Genomic DNA, 13,001 nt, shown 5'->3' with positions numbered 1-13,001 from the left:
CTGGGTGACACTGAGACTCCGTTTCAAAAAATAATAATAATAATATTGCTAAGATAATACTCCTAAAATTGATGTACAAATTCAATAAAATTCCTATACACATTCCCCACAGTTTTGTTGTTGTTGTTGTTGTTGTTTGGAAACTGACAAGATGCTCCTAAAAGCCACATGCCAAATTTATGGAACTCAGAATAGTGAAACCAATTTTGAAAAAGAACAAAGTTGGAAGACACATACTTCCCAATTTCAAAACTTAAAGTACAGTAATCAAGGCAGTGTGGTACTGGCATAAGCACAGACATACAGATCAATGAAGCAGAATTGAAAGTAAAGAAATAAACCATTACATTTATGGTCAACTGATTTTCAGCAATGGTACAAAAGCAATTCAGTGGAGAAAGGATACTCTTTGCAACAAATACTGCTAGAATAGATTTCCATATTTTAAAAAATGAACTTCAATCTATACCATGCCCCATATACAAAAATTAACTCAAAATGGATCATACACCTAAATGATTTTTACCTAAAGACTAATACCACAAACATTCTTAAAGAAAATAAGAAAAAAATCCTTGTGACCTTGGGTTAGACAAATATTTCTTAGATAAAACTATAAAATCACAATCCATTAAAATAAAATTTGCTAAATTAGACTTAAAAATCTAGAACTCTTATTTTTTCAAGAAATTGTCAAAAGAAAAAAACAAGCCAGAAACTAGGAGAAAATATTTGCAAATCATATATCTTTTTTTAAAAAAAGCCTTTTAACTCGAATATATAAAGAACTCTCAAAATTCAATTACAAAAAAAACACAATTTTTTTTTCAAATAAACAAAAGATTTGAACAGGCATATCATCAAAGAAAGTAATATGACAGCAAATAATCACATGAAAAGACATTTAACATCATTTGTCATGCAAATGCAAATCAAAACCACCAGGAAAGACAACCAAACATCTATTAGAATGTCACAAATTAAAATGACTGGCCAGGCCAGGTGTGGTGGCTCATGCCTGTAATCCCAGCACTTTGGAAGGCTGATGTGGGTGGATTGCTTGAGGTCAGGAGATCGAGACCAGACTGGCCAACATGGTGAAACTCCGTCTCTACTAAAAATACTAAAATTAGCTGGGCATGGTGGCAGGTGCCTGTAATCTCAATTACTCGGGAGGCTGAGGCGGGAGAATTGCTTGAACCTGGGAGGTGGAGGTTGCAGTGAGCAGAGATCGCGCCACTGCACTCCAGTCTGGGCAACAGAGTAAGACTCCATCTTAAAAAGTAAGAATAAAAAAGTAAAAAATAGGCTGGGCGCGGGGGCTCACGCCTGTAATCCCAGCACTTTGGCAGGTGGATTACGAGGTCAGGAGATCGAGGCCAACTTGGCCAACATGGGGAAACCCCGTCTCTACTAAAAATACAAAAATTAGCTGGGAGTGGTGGCACGTGCCTGTAATCCCAGCTACTCGGAGGCTGAGGCAGGAGAATCGCTTGAACCAGGGAGTCGGAGGTTGCAGTGAGCCGAGATCGCACTACTGCACTGTAGCCTGGAGACAGAGTGAGACTCCATCTCAAAAATAAATAAATAAATAAAAATAAATAAAAAATGAAATCACTGACCATACCAATTGTTGGTAAGGATGTGGAAGCTCTGGAACACCACACACTGTTGATGGGAATGCAAAATAATACAACCGTCTTGCCAACAGTTTGGCAGTTTCTTAGAAATGCATATACCTTGCTGGGTGCAGTAGCTCCACCTGTAATTCCAGCACTCTGGGAGGCCGAGGCAGGCAGATTGCTTGACTCCAGGAGTTTGAGACCAGCCTGGACAACAGAGTGAAACCCTGTCTCCACAAAAAATACAAAAAAGTAGCCAGGCATGGTAGGACTGCACCTGTAGTCCCAGCTACTCAAAAGGCTAAGGTGGGATGATCACTTGAGCCTGGGAGGTGGAGGTTATAGTGAGCCAACATTACACCACCACATTCCAGCCTGGATCACAGAATAAGATACCACCCCCTCCACCAAAAAAAAAGGAAAAACCTACTATCTGACCTACCATTCCTATTCCTAGGAATTTATTCAAGAGAAATGAAGGCATATGTCTATACAAGCTTGTTCACAAATTTTCACAGCAGCTTTACTTGGAAGAGCCAAGAACTGGAAACAACCAAAATGCCATCAACATGAAAATGGATGAACTGTGATATAGCCATACAATGGAAAATAAAAGTAACTATTGAAATAAGCAACAATAAGGACTAATCTCAAAGTAATTATGCTGAGTATAAAAAAAAAAAAAAGCCAGATAAAAGACTCCACGTACATAAAATCATAGAAAGTGCATATAGGCATCCCTCGCTTTATTGTGCTTTACTTTATTGTGCTTCACATATAGTGTTTTCTTTGTTGTTGCTGTTGTTGTTTCACAGATTGAACGTTTGTAAGCAACCCTGTGTCAAGTAGGTCTATCATGTCATTTTTCTAACAGTACATGCTTACTTCGTGTCTCTATCACATTTTGCTATTTCTCTCAATACTTCAAACTTTCTCATTATTATTTTATCTGTTATGGTGAGCTGTGATCAGTGATCTTTGATGTTACTATTGTAATTGTTTCGGGACACCACTAACAATGCCCATATGAGACAACAAACCTAATTGATAAGTGTGTGTGTGTTCTGAGTGCTCCACCAACTAGCCATTCCCCTATCGCTCTCTCTCCTCTTGCTTCTCCATTCCCTGAGATACAACAATATTGAAATTAATAACCAACCCTACAAAGTCCTGTATTTAAGTGAAAGGAGGAGTCACACATTTCTCACTTCAAATCAAAAGCTAGAAATGATTGAGTTTAGTAAGAGAAGCAAGTTGAAAACAGAGATAGTCCTAAAGCTAAGCCTCTTGCACCAAGCAGCCAAACTGTGAATGCAAAAGAAAAGTTCTTGAAGAAAAATGAAAAGTGTTACTCCAGTGACATGAATAATAAGTAAAACAACCTTAATACTGATATGAAGAATGTCTGAGTGGTCCAGACAGAAGATCAGACCAGCCTTAACAATCCAGAACAAGCCACTATCTAATTCAGACCAAGTTCTTAACTCTCTTCAATTCTGCAAAAGCTGAGAGAGGTAAGAAAGCTGCAGAAGAAAAGTCTGAAGTTAGCACAGTTGGTTCATGGAAGTTTAAGAAGCCATTTCTGTAACATAAAAGTACAAGGTGAAGCAGCAACTGCTAATGGAGAAGCTACAGCAAGTTATCCAGAAAATCTAAATAAGATAATTGAAGAAGGTGGCTATAATAAACAACAGATTTTCAGTGTAGACAAAACAGCCTTCCAGTAGAAGAAGGTGCTTTCTAGGACTTTCACAGCTAGAGAGAAGTCAATACCTGGTTTCAGAGCTTCAAAGGACAGGCTGACTCTTTCGTTAGGGGCTAATGCAGCTGGTGACTGACTATGTTGAAGCCAATGATCACTGACCATTCTCAAAATCCTAGGGCCCTTACGAATTATGCTAAATCGACTCTGCCTGTGCTCTATAAATGAAACAACAAAGCATGGATGACAGCACATCACCATGGTTTACTAATTTTTTTCTTGAGACAAGAGTCTTGTTCTGTCATCCAGGCTGGAGTACAGTGGTGCAATTTTGGTTCACTGCAACATCCAGCTACTGGATTCAAGCAACTCTCGTTGAAATCCCACTAAGTAGCTGGGATTACAGGTGTGCATCATCACACCCAGCTAATTTTTGTACTTTTAGTACAGATGGGGTTTTGCCATGTTGGTCAGGCTGGTCTAAAACTCCTGGCCTCAAGTGATCTGCCCACCTTGGCCTCCCAAAGTGCTGGGATTACTGGCATGAGCCACTGCATCCGGCCCTGCTAAATCTTTTAAGCCCACTCTTGAGACCTACTGCTCAGAAAAATGTTCCTTTCAAAAGATTACTGCTTATTGACAATATACCTGGTCATCCAAGAGCTCTGATGGAGATGTACAAGGAGACTAATTTTGCTTTCATGCCTGCTAGCTCAACATCCAATTCTGCAGCCCATGAATCAAGGAGTAATTTCAATTTTCAAGTCTTATTATCTAAGAAACATATTTCATAAGGCTATAGCTGCCACAGATAGAACAGATCCATCAGAAGAATCACAAGAATCACTAAGTCAATTGAAAACATACTGGATGATGTCCAAAAGAACAAAGAATATTTTTCCAAGTAGAAGTAAGCAATGGGACATTTCAGTGCCAGGCTGCAGTGGACAGCCATAACAAAACCTCTCTTTTCTTTTCTTTTCATAGGTAAAACACTAGACTTTAGATTCAGCTGAGATGTGGTGTGTTACAAAGCAGGCCTTTCCTACAGGGGTTACAGAGGCCAGCCTTTCTTCCCTTGGTAGGAATGGCCTGAGCTGTGTTGTGGGGCAGGCCACTGATTTGTATGCTGTATCATTAGAGGGCATCAGCCAATTATCTTTTGCAGTTTCTATTAAACTTGAACTGACAAAAAAAGAAAGAAAAAGAAAACCTACTGGAAAGGATTCACCATCTGGGTTGCCATTTAAGACCATATGTCGGGCAGGTGAAGCTGAGCATGAGAGGTTGGAGGCATAAGCGGAGACCTCAGGGGAGGTAACTCTCAAGGTTCAGAGAGCCTGCAGTGGTCAGCAGCAGAGAGGCGAGGGAGAAAAAACCAAAAGCCAGAGCTCAGGCCAAGAAGAAGGCACAAATAAAAATGAAGAAAAAAAAAAATTTGTGAATCGTGGGAGGTCAAAACATCGACATTAATAGTTTGGAAGAAGTTGATTCCAATCCTTATGGATGACTTTGAGGGGTTCAAGATTTCAATTGCAGAAGGAATTGCAGATGTGGCAGAAATGGCAAGTGGACTACAATTAGAAGTGGAGACTAAAGATGGGACTGAATTGCTGCAATCTCATGAACAAACCCAAACAGATAAAAAAGCTGCTTCTTACATATAAGCAAAGAAAGTGGTTTCCTGAGATGGAATCTACTCCTGGTGAAGATCCTGTGAACACTGTTGAAATGACAAGAAAGGATTTAGAATACTACAGACACTTAGTTGATAACGTGGTGTCAAAATCTAAGAGAAGTGACCCCAACTTTGCAGTTTAATATGGGTTAAATTCTATCCAACAGCATCGCATGCTACAGAGAAATCATTCATGAAAGGAAAAGTCAACTGATATGGCCAACTTCATTGCTGTCTTATTTTAACAAAGTGCCGGCCGGCTGTGGTGGCTCATGCCTGTAATCCCAATACTTTGGGTAGCCGAGGTGAGCAGATCGCTTGAGTTCAGGAGTTTTTGACCAGCCTGGGCTACATGGCAAAACCCCATCTCTACAGAAAATATAAAAGTTAGCCAGGTGTGGTGGTGCACATCTGTAATCCCGGCTACTCAAGAGGATGAGGTGGGAGGAGGTGGAGGCTTCAGTGAGTTGAGACTGTGCCACTGCACTCCGGCCTGGGCAACCAGAGTGAGATCCTGTCTCAAAAAAAAAAAAAAAACAAAAAAAGAGAGAGAGAGAAGCAATTACCACAGCCATCCCAGCCTTCAGCAACCACGACCCTGGTAAGCAGCCATCAACATCAAGGCAAGATCCCCCACTAGCAAAAAGACTATAACTTACTGAAGGCTCAGATAATTGTTAGCTTTTTTTTTTTTTTTTTTGAGACAGAGTCTTGCTCTGTCATCCAGGATAGAGTGCAATGGCGCAATCTCAGCTCACTGCAACCTCCACATCCCGGGTTCCAGCGATTCTCATGCCTCAGCCTCCCAAGTAGCTGGGATTACAGGCACCCACAACCATGCCCAGCTAATTTTTGTATTTTTAGTAGAGACGAGGTTTCACCATCTTGGCCAGGCTGGTCTCGAACTCCTGACCTCGTGATCCACCCGCCTCAGCCTCCCAAAGTGTTGGGATTACAGGCGTGAGCCACAGCGTCCTGCCTGTTAGCATTTTTTAACAATAATTTTTCATTAAGATATGTACATTAATTTTTAAACATAATGCTACTGCACAATTCACAGGCTATAGTATAGTGTAAACGTAACTTTTATATGCCCTGAGAAATGAAAAAATTTACATGACTTGCTTTACTGGGATATTTCCTTTACTGTCATGGTTTGCAACCTAACCCACAGTATCTGGGGCATTCCTAAATTACAGTGATAGACGGTTGCCTTGGGAAGGGTAAAACAGGATGGGCCAGAAAAAGAGATTACCAAGGGGCATGAGTAAATTTTGGGGGTGACAGAAATGTTCTTCATCTTGATTGTGGTGATGGTTTCATGGGAGCATATGTGTGCTGAAATTAATCAAACTATATTTTAAATATGTGTAGTTTAAGAAAAAAGCCATATTTGAACTAAAAACATATCTATAACAAATTAATATTGAAAATCTAAGCATGTATAACTGATGTTGTTAGAATTCAATTTTAGGAGGCTTTTTTAGTTTGCTTAAATGGCAAGGACTAGTGAACTGGTGCTGTGTCATTATTTCCTATATCTGATAGGTAACAGTGGTTTTAATCAACCATAATAAGCATTAAATCTCTAGGCTAAATGTTCAAGAATCTCGAGAATTTAGATCTGGTAAAATTCTATAAGGCTTATTAATCAGCATCACAATTCGACATTAAAATATCAGGTCCTATAATTTAACATTTATTGAAAATCTATGAGAAAGGCACTTAGGGTAGGGATATACTAAAAATAGAAGTTCTCAAGAAACTTAATGTCTTACTGATTCAGCTCATTATCCCTACAGCAGCCAGCTTGACACTATTCTAAATAAGGCAACAGGTCAAATGACTAATCTATTTGCTACTTTTCCTTACTTACTTTATAATCTTTGCTTACCAAAATATATTGTACATAAATAACAAATAGCATAAGCCACTTGTAGAGTATTCTACACTCCAAACAGATAAATTGAGCAGGTAACAACCTCTCAGTTTCTTTTATAAAAATATGAAAACAATGACTGCCTACTTCATAAAGTTTGTTGAAAAGATCAAGGTAAATAATGTGTGTCAAGAGTATTTTAAACCATAAGGTGTTGAAAAATTACAGAGAATTATCATCATAATAGTCTCAATACCGTTATCCTGGTCCTAGGGGAAAAAAAGCAAAAGCATGATGGCTGGTTGGTGAACATACAAAATACATAAGCAAAAAAGAAAACAAAACAAAAAAGTATATACACTTGGCCCTCCATATCTGCAGATGCTGACTGTAGGGGACTTGAGCACCTACAGATTTTGGTATCTGAGGGAGTCTTGGGACACCTATTTACATAACCCATTCAGCAGCAACAAAAGCTGGTAATAACTAATTTGAGCATTACTGTCTCAAGAGAATGAGAGAGGTCTCCGCTGAATCCCCTCTCTAGAGCTAACGAAGTTTCTCCTTAAGAGCCCTTCTGGAAGTCTTTCAAGAAACTCTCATACAGAAGCACCCTGGCATCTCAGAAATCAATTAAACCTATTAAATATACTGATATATACAGTCCACTTAAAGTGCCTTCTCTGAGGCAAACCAGAAACAGTTAATGGTAAGAGAGTTTTCCACTCTGATCCTAACAGTCAGAAGATCATTTCTGATCAGTCCTCTTTCCAAGTTAGACCTATAGTAAGCAGCCTAAGTTTATGACCAAACTCCCCAGATCAATTTCATTGAATTTATACTTTTAATACATTTCCAACCAATCCCGCCAATTTAATTCCACAGAACTCTAGGTAGAAAACAAAAAGTTTAAAAATTAAAGTGAAAAAGTATTATAAACCTTTTCGTTTCACTGTGGTCACATTCTCAAGTTACATTTGGGCAATACACATTAATATGAAGACAGAAACAAGCTATGACTAGAGTTATATGAAGAAAATGCCTATTAGGGAATTTGTAACATTTTCAAGTTTCTAAACTATTATTCTCTGTGCACAATAGTTTAATAGCTTAGAAATAAATGTTTTGATTAATGAATGTATTCTTACAATACTTCATTTTAATGTGTAACTACACTATTAGAAAAATAATCTAGACATTTTACAAAAATTTGCTATTGATATTTTCCTATTTATGATTCTAGTTTTCTATCAATTCCATTCGAAATCTAAGGCACAATCAAAAATTGAAAATAATGCACTTACGTCATTACTTCCTTCAGTGATCCAATAGCTTTTTCTAAAGTGCTTTTGTCTGGATTTTCATCAGCTGTATGCTTCTTAAGATCTGTAATAATACAATGTTTTTTCCATGCATAAAAAATTCAGTGATTTCTCATCTAAGACTAAAATGCTGTCCATCTTGATACAGCTAATTTTTAAAGATAATATTCAATCCTTATTTTTTAAAAAGTTTTAAGCACTGTTCCCTAAAAAGCTCTCTTATTACACATCTGTTAAGGTTTCCATTTTTACTGACTAAATTTTCAGAATATGTAATCCTGATTTTCTTACACTGCTATTCCAATCCCTTCAAGTAATGCTTGGGGACTCCTAAATTCCTCAAAGTCTCTCCATAGTGCTAAATGAAAACACATGATCCTCAATAAGCTCAGAAATCATAATGTATTTTGTATTTCATACTGGGGCCCATGGCTACATCACAGAGAGCATCTGGTATCTTTAAGCACAGATTTTGTTACCTTAGAGATTTATACTTAACACGTTGACTCTTCTAATCCAGGTTATTTGTGTTCCCTATGCCATCCTTGGCATATTCTTATCAAATCTAGGTTTAATCTAGTACCACTGTCCACCTAATCTCTCATGTGGAATAATAGTAATAAAGCCTAGAAATCATTTTATTTGTAACATTTACGAATTTCTACAAGTACTTAAACAATAATGAAGGTATGCAAATCAGAAGAAAACCACAATGTTTTGGAAACCTAAAGTTTGTTCATATATTCTCCTTATAATTTGCAAAACAGAACAGTTTTAAATAGTGGACAAATCATTTTATAAGCCAGTAATTCTCAACTGTATTAGATAACTCTAAAAAACAAAAAAATTGTCAGATTTTTAGTTAGTACTATAATTCATATACTAACCAAGATTTTTACAGAAAATAACAGATTAAACAGTCACAAAATTTGCCTCCTTGTCTGCTGTATATATTAGTGTAGATTTAGCTTAGGAATTATATCTTTTATTATAGACTTTTTCCTGTTTATAATTTAGTTATCCTTCTTTTTTTTTTTTTAATTATTTTTAGAGACAGGGTCCCTGAATGTTGCCCAGGCTGGTCTCCAACTCCTGGGCTTACCCTCGGTCTTCCAAAGTGCTGGGATTACCGGCTATAATTTTGTTTTCATACTTAATTAAGAATAAAATAAAAACTGATACTGTCCTTAGCCAGCTAAATGTAACAAAATATACATACACATTTTTTACCACAGGCAAAATTTATTCATAAAAATTATCTGCTGTAAAACTCTATTGATACCTATAGTTCAGTTCTAGAATAAATAGATATGTTTCAAGAGTATTCTGAACAATCTAAGGTCAAAAACAGTAAGCATAAAGCCAAGTATATAGAACTTTACTAAAATTCAAAAAAGGGCTACAAAAAAGTCGGGACATACAAATTATCTTCTCCTTGTGATTTTGTGGGCAAATTTTGTATGTACTTGGATATAAAATGATTTTGAATTAGTGACACACCATGAAATATTAAGAAAAATTTTAAATGAAAAGACAAAATATATACTACTAATCAACAAATAAAATATTTCAGGCCAGGCTGAATTTTAGTAGCACCAGTAACTATTTTTTAAGATAATCCATAAAGCAAAACATATATAAACTTTAATGCTGAAATCTAAGAAACTCTAAAAATGAGAAGAAATTCATCTTTTTTGGAAAAAACAATTCCATTAAAATATCTGATGTAGTTTGAAACAGATCAGACAAGTACCATTTAAAAGTAATGCAACACTGGGTAACCTCTGTACTGGTCGGATAAGAAGTTCAACAAGGCTCTGCCGTCCACATTCTGGTTTTGCTTGGTTTATCTGAAAACAATTTATTCAACAATTTCAAAAAAGGTTTTCTGAAAAGATTATATGCCCTACTTTTACTGGAGTACACCTTATCATTAGTGTCTGTGATACAAACTAATAGAGAAGAAGTGGAATTTCTCCGTGGCTGATTACTTGGCTGAATAATTTTTCAGGGCCTGAAATGTCCTCTTGGCCAGCCAGTGGTTAACATCTTACATAAAAAGTGAGTTCCTCTACACACTCCTATATATCCCACCTTAAATTTTTCTTAAGTCTACATTATTCACAAGAAAAAGCACATTTAATATTAATTATGCTAATACCATAATAAGGAACTGGTAAGAAAAAAAATCATTAAAAGCAAAACAAATGTCACTGGAAAATCATTAGGTGTTTTGAGAACTAAAATACATAAAACTTTAAAAAAAACTTTTTGTAGAGATGGGAGTCTCACTATGTGGCTCAGGATGATCTCAAACTCCTAGCCTCAAGCAATCCTCCCTCATCAGTCTCTCAAAGTGCTAAGATTATAGGCTGACATTGGCCGGTGCACCCGGCCACAATTTAAAAAAAAAAAAAATGACCACATATAACATTCTTATTCACTCAGCTGCCTCCTGGCACCTAACACTGAATATATCAAAGCTTCCAAAGCTAAATATCATGGTCACCCATAAGTACAACTAAAATTAACAGATATTAATGGATACATTTTACTAAAGTTAAAATTTACTTCATTTTTGTCATAATTGTGGTGAATTACTTCAGAAATAATTCTCAAATTTTTATTTGAAAGAAACACACATTACCTTGAGAAAAGCATGAAATCTTGGTTTCTGTTTTTCACATTTAATAATTGTTTCCTTGCTCATTTCAAAGAAGTTTACAAAGGGAGGGTAGGTTTTTACCAAATCTTTTGACTAGGAAGAAAAGGGAAAAAAACATTATTTATTATGCATTTGTCACCCTTAGAGACAATGTAACTTAAAGTCAAATAATTAGTAGTCACAATCTGACATAGTGGATGCAAAAGTTTAAAGTAAATTTCTATGTTTGAGAACAAACTTATTTTATAAATTTCTCAGTAAAGAGTTAATTGCTAAACAAAATACATCAATTGGTATACATAGTCTAAAACAGGAAGACTCAGAAAAAAAACAAAAGATATGTTAAAGCTGATTGTATTGATACAAACATGACAAAGAAAATGTCTATGACTTTAAAAAATATCAATTACAGCTGATCTATGTAGATTCCAAAAGCATGGTATTTATTCAAAAATCCAAACCGCCATTAAAAGATCAGTTAAATTACCCAAAAATGCAAACAAGAAAAGGAAAACAATGTTGGCTGACTGAGAAAATTAAAAGGTTATCAAAAAAATGAGAAAATAATTTGTAAATTTTTAATTCTCAACCAAACTGAAAAAACACCTAAGAGATTATTTTGTAAGGAAAGAAGTTAGAAACCTCAAAAAATAAAAGTATAAATGCCAGTACTCAAGGCACTGAAACTTACAAATCCTATTTAAAGAGATTCAAAGAAACTTCTAAATTCTATTCACAGAACCTTGCCAAAATGAATTTATAAAACTTAAGTTGTGTGGTTCTTATCCTAGTAAGAGGCAGTTCATTAGAAGCCTTTAAATAGAAACAGACATGACAGCAAAAAGTGTTATCAACTAAGAAGGGAGAAAAATAAAAACTTTGTACATCTGGTAGAATTCAGCAATATTCACAATAGCAAGACATGGAGTCAACCTAAGCGCCCATCAATGATAGACTTGATAAAGAAAATGTGGTACATATACACTATGGAATGCTATGCAGCCATTAAAAAAAAAATGCGAGATCATGCCCTTTGCAGGAACATAGATGGAACTGGAGGGCATCATCCTTAACAAACTAACACAGGAACAGAAAACCAAACATCACATGTTCTCACTTATAAGTGGGAGCAAAATGATAAGAAGACATAGACACATAGAGGGGAACAACACATACCTGGGGCCTACTGGAAGGTGGAGGGTAGGAGGAAGGAGAGGAACAGGAAAAATAACTAATAGGTACCAGGCTTAACGCCTGGGTGACGAAACAATCTGTACAATTAACCCCTATGACACAATTTTACCTATATAATAAACCCGTACATGTACTCCTGAACTTAAAATGAAAATTAAATAATATATAAAATAAAAATACAATCTGTGGCCATTTATGAAAGGCAAATAACTTGATACATACTAAAACAATTATACCACAGCATGATAATTGGCATTCTTCCAATAATCTTGGGCTACTAAAGTGTTAAATTGCATACAGAAGGCATGTTTCAGAAGACAAAGAACATTTCCAATGTATTTTATAAACACAATCATATCAAAGTTTTAAAACCTCTCACATTTAAATAGGCAAATTACACTCCTTGCCAGTCCTTGATGAGATCATATTTTAATCTGAAAACTTAAAAAAGAAATACAATACTTACATATTTCAGAAAAATGTCACCAATGCTTTTGCTCTCATCCCAATTAACTATAAGGTCTTCAAGATCATCCTGAAATAGCACGAATTGAAATATTTAAAATTAAACCTGACAGCTCCTTATACAACTTTTATTATTTCTGAGATACTCATTGGAAAGAAGCACTTTACAAAGTGTCTTAATTTGATGTGTAAAATAATGAACATCCCATTCTTTCTCTTCAACAAGGAATTAACTTTTACTACAAAGAAAACATCCTTTGAAAAACATTTTTAAAATATAAAATGTAAAGTCGATAAGCCTAACTTTCCAATATGATGTGATAACTCAATATTTTTTATTAACTATAAAGCTGATTGGTGTTATTAATTATAGAAAACTACTTTCAATCCTGCTGCTGAAATCTAAGAAACTCTAAAAATGAGGTTTTTTTAATTTATTTAACATCAGTCATTAAAAACTGTAATCTCTAACAG

At 35.7% G+C, this 13,001-nt stretch overlaps 1 protein-coding gene across 48 annotated transcripts in view; it reads right to left on the bottom strand.

Annotated features, from left to right (window-relative positions):
- The window catches only part of ECT2 (epithelial cell transforming 2), a 78,540-nt gene that overhangs the window by 34,506 nt on the left and 31,033 nt on the right, over positions 1-13,001 (bottom strand). For all 48 annotated transcript variants that reach the window (XM_047447621.1, XM_047447633.1, XM_047447622.1 and 45 more), the window contains 4 exons: positions 12,529-12,597; positions 10,851-10,961; positions 9,957-10,053; positions 8,186-8,267 (listed from right to left, as the gene is read on the bottom strand). In XM_047447621.1, coding sequence (XP_047303577.1) covers positions 8,186-8,267; positions 9,957-10,053; positions 10,851-10,961; positions 12,529-12,597 — 359 coding nt within the window. The remainder of the gene's footprint in view (positions 1-8,185; positions 8,268-9,956; positions 10,054-10,850; positions 10,962-12,528; positions 12,598-13,001) is intronic.

The sequence above is a fragment of the Homo sapiens genome, chromosome 3 (assembly GCF_000001405.40).
Source record: "Homo sapiens chromosome 3, GRCh38.p14 Primary Assembly".
NCBI classification, from domain to species: domain Eukaryota; kingdom Metazoa; phylum Chordata; class Mammalia; order Primates; family Hominidae; genus Homo; species Homo sapiens.
The sequence above is the reverse complement of the archived record's forward strand: the minus strand, read 5'-3'. Positions and strand labels throughout refer to the sequence as shown.